At 36.0% G+C, this 24,042-nt stretch overlaps 1 protein-coding gene across 5 annotated transcripts in view; it reads left to right on the forward strand.

The window, feature by feature from the left end:
- The window catches only part of GRID2 (glutamate ionotropic receptor delta type subunit 2), a 1,506,491-nt gene that overhangs the window by 251,258 nt on the left and 1,231,191 nt on the right, over positions 1 to 24,042 (forward strand). The gene's annotated exons all lie outside the window — the stretch shown is intronic.

The following is a 24,042-nucleotide window of genomic DNA, read 5'->3' on the forward strand; positions in this document are numbered from 1 at the left end:
CATATTAACCCATGAGAGTTATCCGCAGTTAGCATTTGTGTTGAAGTAAAGTTGCACTAAATGTATGTAGGGTTATAGGAGAATGATTTAGATCATATGAAACTGTGAAGGGAGAAGAACATACCAGGATGAAAGAAGTAATTTAAGAGTCAAAGCTACAGATATTTCAAGTAATATGTAGGAGAAAAAGAAGCTTAACTTCAATTTCATTAAGGATAGTGAAAATCCATCTCAGTAGTGTTCAGGATGATAACAGATTGCAAAAGAAATGGAAGGAAGAGATGGTGAGAAAAATGAAGGCAGCTGGCATACATCATATCTTCTAGGGGTCTGGCAATGAAGAAAAATAGAGAAAAACTTCCTAAAATATTGGGATGAAATTTACTTAATTGCATTTTGGCATGTTCTCGAGGCTTTTTAACTTCTCGTCTGTGGTTTGTCAGAAGTAAAGACAGCTTTTCACATTTCCTGTCTTTTCAAATTTGGCTTCCAAGCCATGTTGAGGATGGAGTTATCTTCAAATTTCAGGGGTGTGATGTTGCGTATTGGACCACAGATGCTCCTCAATTCTGTGAGGATTTTTCATTATTTTGATTTCTTTTTTCCTATAAAAGTTTGCATTTCACCCTTCTCATTTTTCCCTCAGTTGTTAGAGGCTGCCTCAGTGAGCTCTAAATTCTCTGGCAGATGGTACTCAGGGATGACTTTGAGAGAATTCCTAGATTTCAAAGACATATACCTTTTCCCTGCCTCCTTGAATAATTTATGTTCTTTGGCTTCTCTTACCCATGACAATGGGCCCTGAAGGAGACCCAAATCTAATCTGAGATGTAATCTCCAGGGAAAACTGAACCACTGGGGAAAGCTCAGTTGTGGACAACCTGTGTCCTAAGGTGAGAAGGAGGGCCACTAGCATAAAAACAACTTGAACAGAACTTCCTTCACAAGCCAATAAATTCTAATAACAAAAGGCAAAGGAAAAAGTTCCCTATAGAAGCTAAGGATTTTCCAAAGCCTAATGCTCATTTTTTATATCCTTCTTTGTATGGTCAAAGGTTGATTCTTCCTTTACCAGACACAAAAAAGGGCTTAATTAAAAATTTGAAATCAAATTTTAGAGATATAAACTATAAATAAATACATTTGCCTTTCAAATTTTTAGAACATTATCCTAGTTAATTCAAATTTTTTTATTTGAGATGAAAGGCGATTTAAGCTAATTTTCATTGGATCATTTATTATTATTATTATTTTGCAGTGTATTAGTTAACTACTGTTATATAACAAATTACCCCAAAACTTAATGGCTCACAGCATCAAAAATATATTAGCTCATAGTTTTTGTGGGTTAGGAATCTGGGTGCTGTATGTCTAGTGCTCAGGGTCCTTCACAAGATTGCCATCAAGTTGTCGACTGGGGATGTAGTCATCTGAAGGCTCACGTGAGTGAGTATCAAATTCCAAGCTCACTCACTTTGTTCAAGTTTTTGACATCTGCTGGCTGGAGACCACTTGTTTGCCTTGTGGGCCTCTCCACAGAGTAGTTTACAACATGGCAACAGCCTCTCTAGTTAGTATGAGCAAGCCCCAGAAGCACATTTGCCATATTCTAATTATTAGATACAAATCAATAGGCTCGAGGTGAGGGGATTACACAAGGACAAGGATACTGGGAGGTGGAATCATGGGAAACCGTTTTACATGCTGCCTACCACTCACGTAATATCCTAGTATAATAAAATCATCAGCTCTTACTAATAAGGACATTTTACCTTTTAGTTTTCATTCATAAAACATCTATTGCCCAACAGAGAAAACGATGCTGAATTTTAATTTTATAAGGAGAAACCACAAAATAAAAGACTTGTAGAAGTGTTCTCTTTTGCCCCTTCTTGGTTTTTGTTTGCAAAAAATTATGGAAAATTTTCAGCAGTAAAAGATTAAAATATTAACAAAATTATATATAGCTTTTACTATTTTTTAAATGCAAAAATTCATTTGTTTCCTACACAAGTAACCAGATTTTCAAATTCTACTATAGACACTTGTAAACACAAACATTCATATTTAAAATGTATTAAATAAAATATTTTAAATTTTCAAAATTTTAATTTTATAATGATTTGATATTTTATTCTTAAGCTAGTAATGACATTGGCTTTTTTGATCAGGAAACAGGAAATAAGAGATATTAAAGACATGGAAAATTATGCATGGATCTACAAATACAACATAAATTTAACTTCTCAGTATATCCTAACACATATATTTTTTCTTCTAAAATGGAAATAAATTGCAACCAAATAAAACCTTATATTTCTGTATTAGATATTTTAATACTTTACTGCAGAAATATATATAATATATACCTTATATTTGTGTATTAGATATTTTAATACTTCACTGCATATATATATATGGTTATATATATATATATAACCAAACTGTCGATTTCATATACTTCTAGTGAACAGAAATGTGTATTTATATATGGCATTATAAATTTATAGAAGGGCCTTGGACATCCTCTAGTCCTAGGTTTGTACTGTGTATCTAACTAAACTGAAACACAAAGGCATCAGGTGAAAGGCTGAAGGCTACACCTAAGTAGCTGAAGTAAATCCACTTTAAGTACACGCATGCTTACTACACTTTAAAAAACTTTTATGCCTTGACATTATTGAAATATTCTGCAGATACTTTGCATAGAATCACAGGGCCAGAATAATTTTTAGTTTTATTTACTTGGTCTAGATTTTGTCATCACAAATCTGAGAATGGAGCTAAAAATCACAGCCTGTAGGATTCCTCCATTCTATTTTTGGAGCCAATGAAGTTTCTTACATTTGGCCAGCCCTCTCTCAAATGCTTGCAATTGGGTAACATTGTTCCTGTGAGGGAAGGTCGAATATCACAGAGGTTATCTTATAAAACCTCATCATTTTTACAATGCCAAGATATATAGACACTTAGATGGGGAGTTTGGAAGAGTAAAATAAAGGTCAATTAGAAAACTATGCACATGTTCATGTAAGAGATGATGGTGACATTGACTGAGGTTATAATCATGGGGATGAAAAGGCTATTTTTTGAAAATGTCATTCTCCTAATCAAAAAACTTCAGTACTATCCCATTCACATTTTTTAAAGGCCAAACTTCTAAATTGAACTTTTATAAACGTTGTTGAGCATTTGCAGTATTTTTCTTTCATAGAAAAAGAAGCACTATTTTTCTTACAGTAAATGCAAGAAGCTTTTAATCTACTTGAAATTCACTCCACCTGAAATTCACTCTACCGTCCATTCTTTAAAAATATAATCCTTTCTTCAAGTCCCTGCTCAAATCCCTCCTGCTCCAACAAGACATCCCTGGTGAGCCTAGCTGCTTTTATTCCTCCTACCTCTAATCTCTTTAATATTTCTTTGTTTTGTTGTGCTTTTATCAAAGGCACCAACAGATGCTGCCTTTTATGACAGTTAGGGTTATCTATCTGTGAACCACTAGATCATGCTTCGCAAGGCATTGTATTCCCTGTGTCCAGCACTGAGCTTTGCACCAAGGGCACATTTCATAAGTATTTTTTGTAAGATAAATGGAAATAATGAATTCATTACTAGAGCTGATGGTGCCCTCAGAGCAACTGATCTCAGATATATTTGTGGCTGAGGTCAACAAAAGACGAGACAATTACTGGTTTTATATCTCTTAAAAGCTGAGTCAAACCTTTAATAAATTTACTGTGACTGGAAACCTATTCCATATTTATTTCACTATTAACTGTTCTCCAGTTTTCAGCATAATTTATATGCACCTTACTCTATGAAAACTTCTAAGAACAGTTTGCCTGTTCATTATTTATGCCAATGCCTATAACTTAAAAGTAAATTATTCCTATTTTGCTTAATTTAATTTTATTATATATAAGCCATTTGATAAATATACATAAACACTTTCATAGTTATGTAACATTTACTAATATAGATTTTAAAGCACATATAATTTGTATAGTTGCCATGCAAACATCAGACTATCAAATATTGATAAACTGGTTACTGATAGAAAATCCAGTCTCTACATTTAAGAAAGAGTTTTTTTCTTCTAATTACAGAAGGAGTATCCCTTCTCTGAAATGCTCGGGACAAGAAGTGTTTCACATTTTGGATTATTTCAGATTGTGGGATATTTGCGTTATACTTAGGTTCAGTATTCCTAATCCAACATGCCTCAATGAGTACTTCCTTTGAGCATGATGTTGGTGCTCAGAAAGTTTCAGATTTTGGAACATTTTGGATTTTGGAGTTCTGGATTCGACATGCTCAACCTGTATTATTTTCTTATCAACTTCACCACTTTATTGTCTTCCACAGTCAAAGCAAGGTATGAGTCAAAGATATCAAACTTAGAGGGAAGAAAATCCCATTGAGGCTACTGTCTATGCATAAACAAAGGAAATTCAAATATCACCACATAAGTTATTACAAATTTACATATTAAAACATGGATCAACTCCCCTTTTCTAAATTGGCAACTATAATTCCACTCAAGTGACAGGTTTGTATACAAATAAGAGGATAAGCTGTTAGCAGTTACTGAACACTGAGACCAAATCATAACTCAGGATTGCAAAGTGCTCATGAATGTGGAGAGATATAGTCATTGCCTAATAATTAATTTTAATTTTTTACCAAAATTAGACTTCTTATAATTTCATTAAAAGTCACAAAAGAATCAAATCAGTATAATTTTTAATTTACTCTGAAAGGCATTTTCTTTACATTTTCCTAACATCTGTATTATTAGAATATCTTTGGCCTTATATCATTACTAAATAATGAGATAGTTGAAGGAAATGACATTTTAGGAGTTCTAAATGAGGGACATATCTCCTCCATATTCCATAATCCAAAATGGTGCCTTCTTGAGGAAGGATAAATGTGGAGAAGAAAGGAGAGGGGAGCCTGCTTAATGAGATGCAGCTGGATTCATAGTGTGGCCTGATAGTAAGTCCCAAATCAAATTCTTACTCACATGCTTTTGAGATAGCCTCCCATTAGAACCCCTTTCCTCTTTTCCCACCCCACATACTTAGCATGGCAGAGGGTAGGCAGATGCCAGGTGTATTTTATTATGAGGTCAATGAGTAACAATTCTGTTCCTCTCTCTTTTGAAGCCTGTTATAATACGGCTACAATGTTATAAAGCAATCATATTTTATTCTTTTCCCCAGCCCACATCATGAATGTTAAGCAAAAGGGGAGACTGAATATTACATTGAGGATGAACTGCAAAATACTAAAGTCCCTTATGATAGTGTTTAATCCTTTATTGATCAATGTTTCACAAAGGTGCATTGGTCATTACCACTGCTGTACCTTTGGTTAGATCCATTTATCTGCCTGGAACATCCTCTCATTTCTCATTTATCTCACTTATATCCTACTGATATTTCCAGACCTTGTTGAAGCCCACCTTCTACATGGAACTAATTTTTTTTTTCTTGAGACAGAGTGCCACTCTTGACGCCCAGACTGGAGTGCAATGGCAGGATCTCAGCTCACTGCAACCTCCACCTCCCGGGTACAAGTGATTCTGCTGCCCCAGTCTCCCAAGTGGCTGGGATTACAGGTGCCCGCCACCATGCCCAGCTAATTTTTTGTATTTTTTGTAGAGACAGGGTTTCACCATGTTGGTCAGGCTGGTCTTGAACTCCTGACCTCAGGTGATCCACCCGCCTCAGCCTCCCAAAATGCTGGGATTACAGGTGTGAGCCAAGGCACCCGGCCGCTTTCTAATTTTTTAATCTACTTTAGGTGAATCACACCCTCCTTTGATATCTTCCTGAATATTTCCTATACCTTGTGATAGAGACAGCAGAGTATAGCACAGTCTTTCCCAAAATATCTTTCTAATATCCTTATTTGAAAGGAAATGTTGAAGACTTAAAAAGCATATTGATGTGTGGAAGTCTTTGAAAAGTCCTTGAGTAAATGAAGAAGTTTGTTCAACTTTTTAAAACTGAACATTTCTTAAACTTCTACAACAATTGCATCTTTATTTCATGTAATAACCTTCTTGCAAAATACACTGGAGAAATAGAAATATATACAGGTTTGGGGCCAGACAGACTTGAGTTTATACCTTACTTCCATGGCTTAATAAACCATCTCATTACATTTACTTAAATCACTTTAAGCTTCTGTTTTTGCATTAGGCATAAAGAAATGTTTCATACCAGTAGGTATTCCAAAATATGCTTCTTTTATATTGTTTCTCCACAGGCCCTGAAATTCAATTGTTTTATGCAGTTTAGTGTGTTTTCTTCTACAGAGCAGGATATATGTTGTGTGCATCTTTTAAATATTAATTACAATCTTGCACATGATAGGTGTGGGATAGATTATTTCTGCCTGAGTAAAGCTTTATAGTGTGGCTACATTGTTTAGCATTTCTGATGTAGAAGATATACAACTTTTAGATTCATTAACAAAAATTTTTTACATTAGTTCTAATTTTGAATGCCCGATGTCATTATTCTCTTACATCAACCATATATTTGAGAGTTGGTGGATTGTTGGGTTGTCTATCTAATTTCATGAGTATATTCAATCTCAGTTATTCCTCATGCTGAAACTGTCTTATCATTATTGTTACTGCTAATGCATGTCAGAAGATCACGTGATTCTGGTGGTGCTGTGACTATGAAAATTTCATAATTCAAGATATTTATAAAATCACATTATGGGAGGATTCCTTAAATAGTGGACTCTCTTTAATAGGCAAACTCACACCTACAAATAAATAACTTTGTTTTAGCCAGATATGTAGTCTTTATCTCTGAGAAAGTTTGGATTGTGGTTTTGAAAGATGATTACTTTTGGTTTTGAATTCATTTCTTACAATTAGTCTAATGATCCATTCTTTCCTGGAGGGCTTAATTTGTGAGTTCTGTCCTCTGTAACAACATGAAATCTCCTTGAAAAGAACAAGTTCAGTTTATTTAGACTGAGGCCATTGCAATAAAGAACAAAGTTCAGTTTGTGCTGTTCTCTAAGTGCCATAGATAAAATTATTCTGATTTTCCCCAAGGTTAATGGGCACAGGGTGACATTTAAATGATATTGTAATAATCTAATAATTTCCAGTGCTAATTAGTACAATCCCAAACCATGAGTGAACATAATTAAAAATGTTTTCTCTTTTTGAGGGTAAGTACCATAACTTCACAACTAATCTAATGGTAGGTGCTTCATTACAGTTTATGCAAACATTGAATTTTACTATAAATATTTGGATAAATTATATTCCAAGTAGTACTAACAGTCAATTCTCATTTTTTCTGCATTGCCTGCTTTATGTAGAGCCCCCACACACAGATCAGTGAGGAGCTGCTATGTCTCCTGTGCCCGGTAGGCCCGACCTAGAAACATGAAGGAACATAGATGGGCAATGAGTATCATGAGAAGAACCTGGGCTTTGGAGTCCAAACTGGATTTGAATCTTGGCTCTCCAAACCACATTTTATTTATCTATGATGCCTGCCTCACAAAATTTTAGTAAAAATTCAATTTATCTTTACTAAGGCTATATTAAAATATGTAATCGTTTTACATACATCATGTATATGTAAAATGCCTGGCAGAGTGCCCTGATGCTAAGAGCTCTCATATACATAGTTCCCTTTTACTATGAAATTTTACTACGGAATCACTTTACAGTCTTATATTTATCAATAATAAGTAATGTAGGTATTCTATTTATAGTTCTAAATTACCCAGGCCTACTCTTTTTCTCTTGGAGTCAGCTGCATATTTGATAGAATCTTCTTCCCATGACTTTGAGACTGCCTCATGAGTGGCAGTGGCCTTTGTGGAGTAACTATTATCAGAGTGATTTGGGGAAGGATTAAATTGTCATCCCTCCACCATGCTCCCCGTTTCTAGTTTAATGGTTTAAAAAATGGTTTTATGGTTGTTAGGATTATGTGCTAATAATATTAGTTAAGCTTTTAGAAAGTTTGGAAAGTGAGAAGCTGCTAAGGAATGGAATGAGTTCTCTATGTCCTCAACTAGAAGCTCTTTTCCCCTCCACTACTTGTTTGTGGTATCCTTCAAGAGCTAGTAGGCTTATTAACTTTTCTGCCTCAGTAATGTGTGCATAATATATAAACTAAAGAAGTGCTGAGCTGGAAAATTGATTTTATGCTTATAGTGGTTTAAAATTTCTACCAAGCCTAATAATATTACTATTTTTTTCTCTAAGAGCTACTATTTTCCGTTGCAAAAATAGCAGGAGAGGATTATGTATAGTTCTAATTTTACCACACTCCTCCTGAATACAATTCTTCCAGAAACACTTAATGCTTTTTTCTTTTTTATTCTTTAATGACTGCCTAGTATATTGTCTCAGTATTATAAGTCTCTTTCCTTACCAGATTTTCAGCATATGACTAATGAGGGAAGCCAGTCAACTCAGATCATTTTTTATTTCTGAGATTTATGTAAAGTTAATGACATCTTAAATATAATTGTGTCAAATTAGTCAGATATTTTTCTGTATCTTCCTTCTAGTTCCAACCTACTCAGTTACCTTTACTTCTCTCTACACCTTCTCATGGACCCTAGTGTTCAGCTAAATGAAATACCTATCAGTGCGCACTCCATACATTATCTACTTCCATGACTTTTCTTACGCTGTTCCTTTCTCAATTTGTCCTTTCTTTACTCTTTAATGTCTTACTTCTACCTATTCTTCAAGGTTCTACTTAAACTATATTCTTCTACATAACATTCTTTCATCTATCCATGATTTCTGAATCTCTTTTAATCTTTATATATTTAATCCAAATACATGGATTATGTCACATTTTATTACATATTTGGAAACTCATGGGTCTGTCTTACCCTTAGTCCTAGTCTATACACCAAATGAAATAAGAAATTATGTCTGTGGTATTTAATACTTAGGTTTCATCCATATGGGGAAAAATAAACTCTAAGAATCAGACAAAAATTATTTTAAATAAGGCTAACTTATTTAGACCATAGTCATACCCATATGAAATTAATGTGATTTAATTAATTACTAGTATGCACAGAAAAATATGAGGTATGAAAGCTGATTTTAAAAAAATCATTGTTGCCCCTGAGGGATAAAATTTTAATGGAGAAGAAAGACATATAAGCATTACATTAGTACAAATCAAGGTTGATAGACACTTAAACAAGTGCCAATAGAGCACCTGATAATATCGAGAGGAGAGGTCATTTCATCTTAAAATTCATGATAATATAAAGCATTCCTTTTTAAATGAAATTGAAGAAGGCCATCTCTTTAGAGAGTAGAAGGGTTTCTATCCCTTATCAGTACTGAGAACAATACAGTTTTGAAAATAAAGAAATATAAATTTAACATCTAAAAGAATCTCAAGTGCTCTCTTCGGCAGTACATACACTAAAAGAATCTTAAACATTCCTAAGGCAAATGTTTCAGTTAAAGGGGGTTAACCAATACACTTAAAATGCAAACATTACTTTGTGAAACATGTTGAAATTAAAAATAATAAAGCCAAACTATTTGGAATGTCATATATTTATAAAATATATATTTTCGTGCTACAAGGCCAAATATATTTTTTTCTTTCCAGTCCTAAAATATGCCCTGTATCGTCAGTGTAGTTTGTAGGTCTGTTCATCAAAAGAGTGGGAAGTATATCATGCCAGAATGCATTTGCTGTTCCCCTATCAAGTGATCACCATTGTTATTGGCTTTAGAATTATTAGCTTCTGTACCTGGATCTGACCTTAATTTTAACCACAAATGTGGGAATGGTTTTGACAAGGCATACAGTTTTGGCAAGTCACCTCACTTGGGTACTAATTACTTCTGGGTACCCAGTTACTCCTGGGTCCTAATTTTATCTTTAAATGCTTGTTATGTTACTTATTACTTTCATATGAGAATTTTGATAATATGTTGTATTAAAAAATTATTAGTTTTATAGTGATCAATCAATGAGGAAATTCTCTGAAAGTGATGTTTCTTTACAAGAAAAGCACCCAGGCTGGAAACAATATAAACATTGTAAAAATATGTGAATCAACACTGTCAATTCATATTATTTTTCTTAGTATAGTTTTAGTTTACTGAATTCATATGCTTGCTAAGAGCTAGAAGCTTTATATATATTCCCACTTTATATGACAGTATAAGAAGATCAAACTATTATATCCCACAGGGGAAATATTTTAAATCTTTCACAATTGCTGGTTTTCCCCTTAACACAATTTCTTGATTATAACATTTAAGCTATTATACTGCTATCTATCTATCTATCTACTAAATTTTATCTATCTATTTATCTATCCATTTCTATAGCTAGACTATAATCTCTTCAAGACTGGTATCTGACTTCAGTTTCTACTACTAGTTCCTAACGCAGCGGTACAGTTCCTGGCATATGTACATACTCCTATAGTGTGTGCTAAAGAAAGGAAAGAAATTAACAAGTCTTTTTCTCCCATGTTGTATAAGCCCAGTACTAGTTGCTCTCAGACACTAGTGAATAATTTATTACTGTTCATAGTTTAAAGAATGCTGATAATTGAGTGTATTGGTTTGTTATTGCTGTGTAACAAATTACCACAAACTTAGCAATTTAAAACAGCACATATTTATTAATTCACAGTTTTGTATGTTAGAAGTCTGGCACTGTGTGGTTCTCTCCTCAGGGTATCACAAAGAAGAAATCAAGTATTACCTAGGTTGAGTTTACCTATACAATCCCTATGTGTAAGCTAGGAATATTTGGAAACAGTGGAGGTTCATGTGTTCTTCGCTGACCGTTTATGGTTTTGAAGGCCTAAGAGGTTTCAATAAACTATGTCGATATGCCTAGCAGCTGGCGCAAAATTTTTGGTGAAGTATTTACTTAATTTGGGGAGGTATGTGTGATGCATGTTAAGATAAAAGTAAAGCTGCTCAATGGAGAGCATCTCAAAATATGATTTTCATGCATAGAAAAAAGCTAAAAAATATTATTCAATTCAATATGGAAATATTTCTGTTTTTTTTTAAGATGGAAAATGATGCCCCAGAGTCATTATTCTGCATAGCACGTAACTATCTAATTGCATTTAGAGAAATAAAATAAAGTTTGCCAACAACGAAAAAGGGGGACCAGAAAATTTGTTGACAGCATATCCAATGAACACAGTTTCGGACAATAGGATGCATGTTAAGCCTGACTGGATCTATTCATTCTCCTGTCAACAGCTGGCATGCCTCCTTCACAATGGCAGAAAAGCTACAGGAAGTTTCTCTTTGGAAAACATGTTGAGAAATTTTCTTGTCTCTCTATGCTCCTTACTGTACACTGAGATATTTTTCTAGAGAATGAGTGAAGAAATTATGCTATTACTATAGAGTGATAACTAATTTACACTATGTAAAGGGATAGCACAGATATTGTTTTATTCACACTAAAAGCAAATAATTGGAAGAATTTCTATGTAACTATGAAAACTAGAAATAAATGGTGCTAAAATGTGCAAAAGATGATACATTTTCAGGCACATATTACAGAGTTTCACTCAAAGTATGACTAGTATGTGAAATGCTGGTACTCAGTTGTGGATGATTTTCACTGCAGTGGTTAGGTAGGAAAGCTTACTATTAAAAGTTTTTGAATCTTATATCCCCGTTTCTGAAGAGCTGCCCACTCTGGAGATTTGTTTCACTGTGATTAACATTGTACCTCTCATTTACTTACTTGTCAGAGGTTTTATTCAGTTAGTATCTTTTTCTAAATAGTTACACCTTAAAAGTTTAAAAATGATCAGATTTGTATTTGATTGTTCACTACTTCACTTGCAAAAACAAGTATTACAGAAAAGTAATATGTTAACATTAGTTTATGTATGAAATAACCTGCAATACCACCAAAACTTATCGGATCAGATAACCTCCAGTTGACATTAGCAAGCTTTCTAATGGTGTCATTTCTTCTTTTTTGAATTCCTTTATAATTCCCTCTGACATTTTTAACTTCAAAATTATATTCTTCTCAAATAATAGAATATGTTGTTTTCTACTACATATAAATGATTTAACTACACAGTGGTTTTTCTTATTTTTGAGTTAGATACCTGATAGGCTTACATTTGCCACTTCTATAGGAAAATGTGCTTGCTTAGATTCACGGCATATTTGAATATCTATAGCATTACTGAACTGTGATGATTTCTGCTGGTTCGTCATATCTTAATTCAAGAAGGATACTTGGGAATTTGTTAAATATTTGCGCTAATAAATCTAATTGCATTTAGAGAAATAAAGTTTCATCGGGAAAATAGGATGCTAGAGCTTGCAGCTTTTCAGGACACTCTTCAATTAGTGATTTATAAAAGCATCTACAAGGTGAAGTCAAAGGCAGATAAACCTCAGATATGATCTCTTGCCAACAATTTTGTCTCAAGAACTTGGTATACATACTTTAAGTATTCTTTAGAAGTCTTACTACACTATTAATTTTATGATTGTTGATATCTTTTAAAATATTCAATCATATAATCGTATTTTATCTATCTATTCAATGAATTTCTACTACTTACCTAATATGCGATGAACACATTTCTTTGCATTGGTAATTCAGAGTTAACACAGCAAACAAAACCCCTTGCCCTCATGGAAAGTGCATTTGAAAGAGAAGGAAATAATAAACAAGAGATATATAGTTAAGATATGTAATGCATCAGATGGCCATATAAACTATGAAGTAAAATAAAGCAGGGATGGCAGAAAGGGATTGAAGGCAGAGGCTGCAGTTTTAAACAGGGTCATCAAGGAGGGTCTCACTAAGAAGTTGAGCAAGACCTGAAGCAGTTGAGGAGAAGCTGTGTTTTTCTGTAAGAGAAGGAGCATTACAACTAGAAGGAATAACGAGATCAGGACTGCTGAGATGGGAATATACTTTTTGTATTGCAGGAGCAACAAAAAGACTTGGGTAACTGGATGTCAGTGAGGAAGAGGCGGAATACTAGGATCTGAGGTCTGAAATTTAACAAAGTGTCTGATTATAGAAGACTCAATAAGCCCTGGGAGGATTTTGACAGTTTCTACAGGTGTGTCGAGATGCCATTCAAGGCTGCCCTGACATACAAAGAAACTTTTACAACAATCTTTTGTCTCCCCATGGTTTCTCTCAAGTTTTTTGTTGGTTCCTCAGATATGTGCTACCTTTATTCTTCTGAAGTTTCTGAATATTTGATTTTGGTGGCGGGAATGAGGAACTCTACTAGTCTGTCATCTTGTCAGAACTTGAAGTGCAAAATTTCATTAAAAAATATGTATTTTTTCAGTTTTATTTCAAGTTCAGGGGTACATGTGCAGGTTTGTTATATAGGTAAACTTGTGTCATGAGGGTTTGTTCTACAGATTATTTCATTACCCAGGTATTAAGCCTAGTACCCATTAGTTACATTTTCTGATCCTCTCCCTCTTCCCACCTTCACCCTCCAGTAGGTCCCAGTGTCTGTTGTTCCCCTCCATGTGACCATGTGTTCTCATCATTTAGCTCCAACTTATAAGTGAGAATGTGCTATATTTGGTTTTCTGTTCCTGCATTAGTTTGCTAGAGTTAACAGCTTCCAGCTCCATCCATTTTCCTGCAAATAATATGATCTTGTTCTTTATTATGGCTGCATACTATTCCATGATGTATATGTACCACATTTTCTTTCTTTTTTTAAATTCCCAACTTTTAAGTTAAAGGGTACATGTGCAAGACATGCCGGCTTGTTAAATAGGCAAAAGTGTGCCATGGTGGTTTGGTGCACAGATCATCTTATCACCCAGGTGTTAAGCCAACATCCATTATTCTTCCTGATGCTCTCTCTCCTTCCACCCCACACCCTCCAACAGGCCCCAGTGTATCTTGCTACCTGACATGTGTCCATGTGTTCTTATCATTTCACTCCCACGTATAAGTGAGAAAAGGTGGCACTTGGTTCTCTGTTCCTGAATTAGTTTGCTAAGGATAATGGCCTCCAGCTCCATCCATGTCCATGCAAATAACATGATCTCATTCATTTTTATGGCTGCATAGTATTCTATGGTGTATATTTACCATATTTTCTTTATCCTGTCTAACATTGATGAATGTTTAGGTTGATTCCGTGTCTTTGTTATTGTGAATAGTGCTGTAATAAACATTCACGTGCATGTATCTTTATAATAAAATGATTTATATTCCTTCGGGTATATACCCAGTAGTGAGAGTGTTGGGTTAAATGGTATTTCTGTCTCTAGGTCTTTGAGGAATCACCACATTGTCTTCCACAAGGGTTGCACTAACTTATGTTCCTACCAACATTGTAAAAACAGTCCTTCATTTTCCACAACCTTGCCAGCATCTGTTGTTTATTGACTTTTTAATGTCTATTCTGAGTGGTGTGAGATGGTATCTCATTGTCATTTTGATTTGTATTTCTCTAATAATCAGTGGGGTTGATCTTTTTTCATGTTTTTTGGCTACATGTATGCCTTCTTTTGAGAAGTGTCTGTTCATGTCCAATGCCCACTTTTTAATGTTTTTTTTCCTTCTTGTGAGTTTAGGTTCCTTATAGATGCTGGATATTAGACCTTTGTCAAATGGGTAGATTGCAAAAACTTTCTCCCATTCTGTAGGTGGTATTTTTACTCTGTTGATACTTTCTTTTGCTGTGCAGAAGCGCTTTAGTTTAATTAGATCCCATCTGTCAATTTTTGCTTTTGTTGCATAACTTTTGATGTTTTTTCATGAAATCTTTGCCTATGCCTATGTCCTGAAGTGTATTGCCTAGGTTTTCTTCAAGGGTTTGTTTAGTTTACCACTTTACATTTAAACATTTAATCCATCTTGAGTTGATTTTCATATGTGGTGTAAGGAAGGGGTCCAGTTTCAGTCTTCTGCATATGGCTAGCTAGTTCTCAGAGCACCATTTATTGAACAGGGTATCTTTTCCTCATTCCTTGTTTTTCTCCTTTATCAAAGATCAGATGCTTATAGTTGTTTAGTCTTATTTTTGGGCTCTCTATGCTATTTCATTGGTCTATGTGTCTGTTTCTATACCAGTACCATGCTGTTTTGGTTACTGTAGCCCTGTGGTATAGTTTGAAGTGAGATAGCATGAAGCCTTTGGGTTTGTTCTTTTTGCTTAGGATTGTCTTGGTTATTTGGGCTCTTTTTGGCTCCATAAGAATTTTAGAATATCTTTTTCTAATTCTGTGAAGAATGCCAATGTGAGTTTAATGGGAATAATATTGAATCTATAAATTGCTTTGAGCAGTGTGGTCATTTTCATGATATTAATTCTTCCTATCCATGAGCATGAAATGTTTTTCCATTTGTTTGTGTCATTTCTGATTTATTTGACAGTGGTTTATAGTTTTTCTTGAAGAGAGCCTTCACTTCCCTTGTTATCTCCTAGGTATTTTATTCTTTTGGTGGCATTTGTGAATGGGAGATCATTTGTGATTTGGTGCTCAGCTTGTCTGTTGTTGGCATATAGGAATGCTACTGGTTTTTACATATTTATTTTTATCTTGAGACTTTGCTAAAATTGTGTATCAGTTTAAGCAGCTTTTCAACTGGATGACGGAGTTTTCTAGATACAGCATTATGTCATCTGCAAACAAGGATATTTTGACTCCCTGTCTTTGTATTTGAATGTCTTTCTTTCTTTCTTTTGCCTGATTGCCCTGGCTAGAACTTCCAATACTATGTTGAATAGGAGTTTTGACAGTGGACAAGCTTGTCTTGTGCCGGTTTTACAAGGGGAGTGCTTCCAGTTTTTGCCACTCAGTATGATATTGGCTGTGGGTATAGCATATATGGCTGTTATTATTTTGAGGTATGTTCCTTCAATACATGGTTTATTGAGAGTTTTTAATATGAAGGGATGTTGAATTTTATGGAAGGTCTTTTCTGAATCTATTGAGATAATCACATGGATTTTGTTTTTAGCTCTCTTTATGTGATGAATCACATGTATTGATTTGCCAACAAAGATCAAAAGAGACAAAGAAGGCCATTACATAATGGTAAAGGGATCAATTCAACAAGAAGAGCTAACTATCCTAAATATATATGCACCCAATACAGGAGCACCAAGATTCATAGAGCAAGTCTTTAGAGACCTACAAAGAGACTTAGACTCCCACACAATAATAATGCGAGACTTTAACACCCCACTGTCAACATTAGACAGATCAATGAGACAGAAAGTTAACAAGGATATCCAGGAATTGAACTCAGCTCTGCACCAAATGGACCTAATAGACATCTACAGAACTCTCCACCCCAAATCAACAGAATATACATTCTTCTCAGCACCACACCGCACTTATTCCAAAATTGACCACATAGTTGGAAGTAAAGCACTCCTCAGCAAATGTAAAAGAACAGAAATTATAACAAACTGTCTCTCAGACCACAGTGCAATCAAACTAGAACTCAGGATTAAGAAACTCACTCAAAACCACTCAACTACATGGAAACTGAACAACCTGCTCCTGAATGACTACTGGGTACATAACAAAATGAAGGCAGAAATAAAGATGTTCTTTGAAACCAATGAGAACAAAGACATAACATACCAGAATCTCTGGGACACATTCAAGGCAGTGTGTGGAAGGAAATTTATAGCACTAAATGCCTACAAGAGAAAGTAGAAAAGATCTAAAATTGACACCCTAACATCACAATTAAAAGAACTAGAGAAGCAAGAACAAACACATTCAAAAGCTAGCAGAAAGCAAGAAATAACTAAGATCAGAGCAGAACTGAAGGAAATAGAGACACAAAAAACCCTTCAAAAAATTAATGAATCCAGGAGCTGGTTTTTTGAAAAGATCAACAAATTGATAGACTGCTAGCAAGACTAATAAAGAAGAAAAAAGAGAAGAATCAAATAGATGCAATAAAAAATGATAAAGGGGATATCACCACCGATCCCACAGAAATACAAACTACCATCAGATAATACTATAAACACCTCTCTGCAAATAAACTAGAAAATCTACAAGAAATGGATAAATTCCTCGACACATACACCCTCCCAAGACTAAACCAGGAAGAAGTTGAATCTCTCTGAATAGACCAATAACAGGCTTTGAAATTGAGGCAATAATTAATAGCTTACCAATCAAAAAAAGTCCAGGACCAGAAGGATTCACAGCCGAATTCTACCTGAGGTACAAGGAGGAGCTGGTACCATTCCTTCTGAAATGATTCCAATCAATAGAAAAAGAGGGAATCCTCCCTAACTCATTTTAAGAGGCCAGCATCATCCTGATACCAAAGCCTGGCAGAGATACAACAAAAAAAGAGAATTTTAGACATTTATTGATTTGCATATGTTGAATCAGCCTTGCATCCTGGAGATTTGTGTATGTTGAACCATCCTTGCATCCTACTTGATCATGGCAGATAAACTTTTTGATGTGCTGTTGGATTCGGTTTAGCAGTGTTTTGTTGAGTATTTTCACATAGATGTTCACCAAGGATATTGGCCTGAAGTTTTCTTTTTTTCTTGTATCTGTCAGATTTTGGTATCAGAATGATGATGGCCTCATAGAATGAGTTAAGGAGGAGTCCTTCTTTTTCATTTTTTTTTGGAATAGTATCAGTAGGAATGGTACTGGCTTTTCTTTGTACCTCTGGTAGAATTCACCCATGAATCTATCTGGCCCTGGGCTTTTTTTGGTTATTAGGCTATTTATTACTGCCTCAGTTTCAGAACTCATTATTGCCCTGTTCAAGCATTCCGTTTCTTCCTGGTTCAGTCTTGGGAGAGTGTACGTTTCCAGGAATTTGTTCATTTCTTCTAGATTGTCCAGTTTATGTGCACAGACGTGTTTATAGTATCCTCTGATGGTTGTCTGTATTTCTTTGGGGTCAGTGGTGATATCTCCCTTATCATTTCTGATTGCATTTATTTGAATATTATTTCTTTTCTTCTTTATTATTCTAGTGAGGAGTCTATTTTATTTTTTTCAAAAAAACAGCTTCTGGATTTCAGTTTTCGAAGGGTTTTTCATGTCTCTATCTCCTTCAGTTCTGCTCTGATCTTGATTATTTCTTATCTTCTGCTAGCATTGGGGTTTGTTTGCTCTTGGTTCTCTAGTTCTTTTGTTGTGATGTTAGAGTGTCAATTTGAGATCTTTCTAGCTGTTTGATGTGGGCAGTTAGTGCTATAAATTTCCCTCTTGACACTGCTTTAGCTGCATCCCAGTTAATCTGGTATGTTGTTTCTCTGTTGTCATTAGTTACAAAGAACTTGTTTGTTTCTACCTTAATTTCATTATTTACCCAAAAGTCATTCAGGAGCAGGTTGTTCAATTTCCATGTAGTTGTATGGTTTTGAGTGAACTTCTGAATCTTGAGTTCTAATTTTATTGCACTGTGGTCTGAGGGACTGTTTGTTATTATTTCAATTATCTTGCATTTGCTGAGGTGTGTTTTACTTCCAATTATGTGATTGATTTTAGAGTAAGTGACATGTTCCACTGAGAAGAATGTACATTCCATTGCTTTGGGGTAGAGAGTTCTGTAGATATCTATCAGGTCAACTTGATCCAGAGCTGAGTTCATGTCCTGAGTATCTGTGAATTTACTGTCTCAATGATCTAGTATTTTCAGTGGGGTGTGAAAGGCTCACAGTATTACTTTGTAGAAGCCTAAGTCTCTTTAAAGGTCCCTAAGAACTTGCTTATGAGTCTGGGTGCTCCTGTATTGGGTGCATATATATTTAAGATAGTTAGCTGTTCTTGTTGAATTGAACCCTTTACCTTTAGGTAATCCCCTTCTTTGTCTTTTGTTCTTTGTTGGTTTAAAGTCTGTTTTGTCAGAAACTAGGATTGCAACCCCTGCTATTTTCCTGTTTTCCATTTCCTGGGTAAATTTTCCTCCAACGCCTATGTGTGTCTTTGTATGTGAGACGAGTCCCTTGAAGACAGCATACCAATGGGTTTTAGTTCTGTACCCAGCTTGCCATTCTTTGTCTTTTAAATGGGGGCATTTATCCCATTTATATTTAAGATTAGTATTTTTATGTGTGTATTTGATCCTGTCATCATGATGGTATTATAACTGGTTATTTTGTACACATGTTTATGTGATTGCTATATAGTGTTACTGGTCTGTACTTTAGTATTTTTTTTTTTTTTTTTTTGTGGCTGGTAATGGTTTTTGCTTTCCATATTTAGTGCTTCCTTCAGGAGCTCTTGTAACACAAGTCTGGTGGTGACAAATTCCCTACACATTTTCTTGTCTGAAAACGACCTCTTTCTCTTATGAAAGGATCTCCTCTCCTTTATTTTTGAAGCTGAGTTTGTCCAGATATGAAATTCTAGATTGGAAATTCTGTTCTTTAAAATGTTACATTTTGCCCTCCAATCTCTGGGTTTTAGGGTTTCTGCTGAGAGGTCCACTGTTAGTCTGATGGGCTTCCCTTTGTCGGTCACCTGCGTTTTCTCTCTAGCTGCTCTTAACACTTTTTCTTTCATTTTGACCTTGGAGAATCTGATGATTATGTGTCTTGGGGATGATCTTCTCATGGAGTATCTTATTGGGGTTTTCTACATTTCCTGAATTTGAATGTTGGCCTTTCTTGCTAGGTTGGGGAAGTTCTCCTGATAATATCTAGAAGTATGTTTGTTAAATTATTTCCATTATCTTTATCTCTTTCAGGTACCCCAATCAGTTATAGATTCTGTCTCTTTAGATAATCCCATATTTCCTGAAGGTTTTGTTCATTCCTTTTTCTCTATTCTTGTCTGACTCTCTTATTTCAGAAATATAGTCTTCAAGTTCAGAAAGTCTTGCCTCCTCTTGACCTATTCTGCTATTAATGCTTGTAATTGCAATGGGAAATTCTTGTAGTGTGTTTTTCAGCTTCATCAGGTTGGTTATGTTCCTCTACATTGTGGCTATTTTGCCTGTCAGCCCCTGTATTGTTTTACCATCATGCTTAGGTTATTTGCATTGGGTTACAACATGCTCCTTTAGCTCAGCAAAGTTTGTTTTTATCTGCATTTTGAAGTCTACTTCTGTCATTTCAGCCATGTCAGCCTCAGCCCAGTTCTGAGCCCTTGCTGGTGAGATGGTTCAGTCATTTAGAGGAAAAGGGACACTCTGGCTTTGTGAGTTTTCTGTGTTTTTGCAATGGTTCTTTCTCATATTTGTGGACTTATCTACCCATGATCTTTGATTTTGCTGACTTTTCGATGGGTTTTTTTGTGGTTTTTGTTGTTGTTTGTTTTTATGTTTATTTGTTTTAGCCTTGCTGCAGTTTGATGGGGGTCAGCTATAGACCCTAGTCACCTCATTTTTTCCCAAACCTGGAGGTATCAACAGTAAAGGCTGCAAAACAGCAAATATGGCAGCCTGTCCCTTCCTCTGGAAGCTCCATTCCAGGGGATACTGACTGGTTGCCAGCCTGAACCCTCCTGTAGGAGGTGGCTGGAGTCCTTGGGCAACTCTTCAGCTCCCAATCCTTTAGGGCTCTCGAAGGCCCACAGTCTGGACCAGCTGAGATATTTGAACAGCCAAGGTGGTGGCCACCCCCGTTGTTCTCCAGACACTCCCTCCCAGAGAGAAATTAGAACTGTTGGCTCTTGAACATGGACAGGGTGGCCAGAAGCCCTGGCTGGGAGGACCCTCCCATGAGAAGGAGTGGATCAGGGTCCCCCTTAAAGAAGCAGTCTGGATATGTCTTGACAAACAGCTCTGCCATGCTAAGGAACCGCCTCTGCCCATTGGCTTGGACTCTCCAAAGCCCACAGGCTGGAATGGCTGAGTTGTCTAAACAACCAAGGTGGCAATCTGCCTTTGCCCGAGGGCACTCTGTACCAGAGAGAAGTCAGCACTTTATCTATAGAATATGTGCAGGCAGGCATGGCTGGAGACCCCAGCTGGGAGGTCCCATCCACTGAGAAGGAATGGACCAGGGTCCTGCTTATGGAAGCACTCCAGCCATGTTCTGGCAAAGCAGCTGTGCTGCACTGTTGGAATCCTTCCTTGTCCGGACCATTTGGACTCTCCAAAACCCACAAGCTGGAATAGCTGATTGGACTAAACAGCAGATATGGTGGCCTGGTCCCTCCCCCAGAGGGCTCCATCTCCTCTCAGGCAGGCTCCACTCTGTTGCTGGTGGCTGCTCTGGATTCCAAACCAGTGGGTCTTATCCTGTGAGATGCTATGGAAGTTGGGCCTGAAGACTGGCACTGCTCGGCTCCCTGGATTCAGCCCCCTTCCTAGGGACATCTCCTAGGAAGGACCTTCTGCCTTGCTTGAGCTGCAGACAACCTTGCCAGGGTTCCTGGGGCTGGAGTATGTAAAGCTCCTGGATCTCTGCATGTGCCTGAGCATCTGGTCTCCTGAGACTTTGCCCAGCTTAGTGTGTCAGACACTGGTGGCATGGGCCCATGATGGGACCTCCTGATCCATGGTTTGCAAAGCTCTGTGGTAGAAGTGTGGTTTCCTGGGATCACACAATCACTCATCGCTTCCCTTAGCTGGTATTGGAGATCCCTTGGCTCTGTTGCTCCTGGGTGGGCCATTGCTCCTGGGTGTGCCGTTGCCCCACCCTGCTTTTTTTCATTCTGGGTCTGGGATCTGTTCTAGCCCCTCTTCTTTCTCTTTGGGCTATTTTTTAATATGATAACATCTTGTCTCAGATTTTTAATTTCCAAAGGTACCTTGATTACTTTCAAATATATGTCTGCAGTTCAGACATCTTTCTCTTAAGCTCCATTTTCTACATATTTAATTGCCAACATAAATTCTCCATTTTGATTTTAATAGGCTTCAGAAGCATAGCATATTCGAAAGGGAACCATTGATTTACCTCTTGTTACTTTGTCAGTTATCACTGTTTCTGTAAAATGGAATCTCCATCAACTCAGTGATCAGGGGACTGGAAGTTTCTTTGTGGCTGAAGAACAGATGTAATGGAATGAGTCTTGAAAAAAAGACTGTGTAGAGTGTTAGATAATAGATTTCAAGATTTCTCATATAGAGTATACAGGGGATGTCAGGGACCTGTCACTGGCTGTGGGTTTAGTGGAGGTATAAACATTAGGATTAAGAAAAATGAGATTGAGTTGTTACTAAGGTAAATAAGTCAACTGTTATCACCAAGGATGATGGTAGGACCGAGGACAGAGAGAAAGATGTTGAACCAGGTTTCAATTTACAAAATGAACTTAGTCATCTGGGCAGGAGGTAGTCAAGTGACAGTGATGAGAAGGATCAGAGGGTAGGACAGTTAAATGGCAAGGGATTCAGAAGAGATGATTTTACTCCATAATGGAAGAGTAACTGTTTGGCATTGTTTTTGAGGAGCTAAGCAATGTTAGCTGGTTGTAACAGGACTTGGTATGTGAAAAAATAAATCTCCAGTTGAAAGGACTACAGGAAGAGCAAGGTCCTCTAGAGAAAGCTAGAATTTAATAAAAGCTAGGATTCTTCTATAAAGGAGTTGAAAATATTAATGAAATGGAATTACCATGGAATTAGGTGGTCAGAGTGGAGAACAATTAGCATTGTGTAAAGGTATGGTGGGCTTTTGTCAAAGGAAAAACAATATAAAGAAAATGAGGAGCTGATGAATGGTTAGAGATATACATTTTGGGCGGTAAGCAAAGATGCCAGTGGTGAATCACGATGGGATTAGCTGGCCTCAAAGTCTCAGTGAGAATCTCACATAAATTAAATGGTGTTTTTTCCAAGGTTCAAGTGAAGATTTGGGATGACTTACTAAAATTTTCTGAAACTTAGTTTCTTCTTCTTCTTCTTCTTCTTCTTCTTCTTCTTCTTCTTCTTCTTCTTCTTCTTCTTCTTCTTCTTCTTCTTTTTCTTATTATTATTATTACACTTTAAGTTTTAGGGTACATGTGCACAACGTGCAGGTTAGTTACATATGTATACATGTGCCATGCTGGTGTGCTGCACCCATTGACTTATCATTTAGCATTAGGTATATCTCCTAATGCTATCCCTCCCCCCTCCCCCCACCCCACAACAGTCCCCAGAGTGTGATGTTCCCCTTCCCGTGTCCATGTGTTCTCATTGTTCAATTCCCACCTATGAGTGAGAACATGAAGTGTTTGGTTTTTTGTCCTTGCGATAGTTTACTGAGAATGATGATTTCCAATTTCATCCATGTCCCTACAAAGGACATGAACTCATCATTTTTATTTAAAATGGAATTATTAAAAGATAGAGCCTCTCAGGTCTGGCTGCCTAAAGCTTGAAAAGCTACCTCTTTAATAAAGCAAAAGATATATGGAAAACAACATAATTAAATAGAGAATAACATCTTCAGAAATTTATGGAAGCATGGCCTAGTGACTCACACCTGTCATCCCAGTCACTCTGGAGGCTGAGGCAGTTGCTTGAGTTCAGAAGTTCAAGACCAGTCTGGGCAAACTCATTTCAACAACAAAAATATCATTATCTATCTATCTATCAATCTATCTATCTATCTATCTATCTATCTATCTACATATTTGAATTCTTGTAATTACCATTTTGACATGCATCATATATATTTTGTTCAAACTCTTAATAATGTAGTACCAGATTACTTCATCATTAGATCACAATTTTCAAAACACTGAAATGCACATCGAGGTCACTGTAAATTTTCATCTATTTACCAAAAAACCAGAATTCACAGATACAAATGTTTGCCAATTTGCTTTATAGCTTATGTTAAAGGAAGGAAACTTGTTTCTTTTTTATTTAAACAACAATATTTTTTGAGTTTTAATCTGAAGTCTTAAGATATATATCATAGTAGAAGATCCCGAGAAATCTCCTTATGTTTCCCTTATGTACTTCAACTATGGTCTTCATACACCAGGAGGGCATAAGAATTTATCCAAACGTGACTTTTATTTTATTTTTTTTAACTTGAGCTCTGTGGTAAATTACTTAATATCAAGTTCCATAAGTAAACATTCTTGCTGGACATATTTTGACTTTTAGATAATTTTTCAAT

The sequence above is a fragment of the Homo sapiens genome, chromosome 4 (assembly GCF_000001405.40).
Source record: "Homo sapiens chromosome 4, GRCh38.p14 Primary Assembly".
Taxonomy (NCBI): Eukaryota; Metazoa; Chordata; class Mammalia; order Primates; family Hominidae; genus Homo; species Homo sapiens.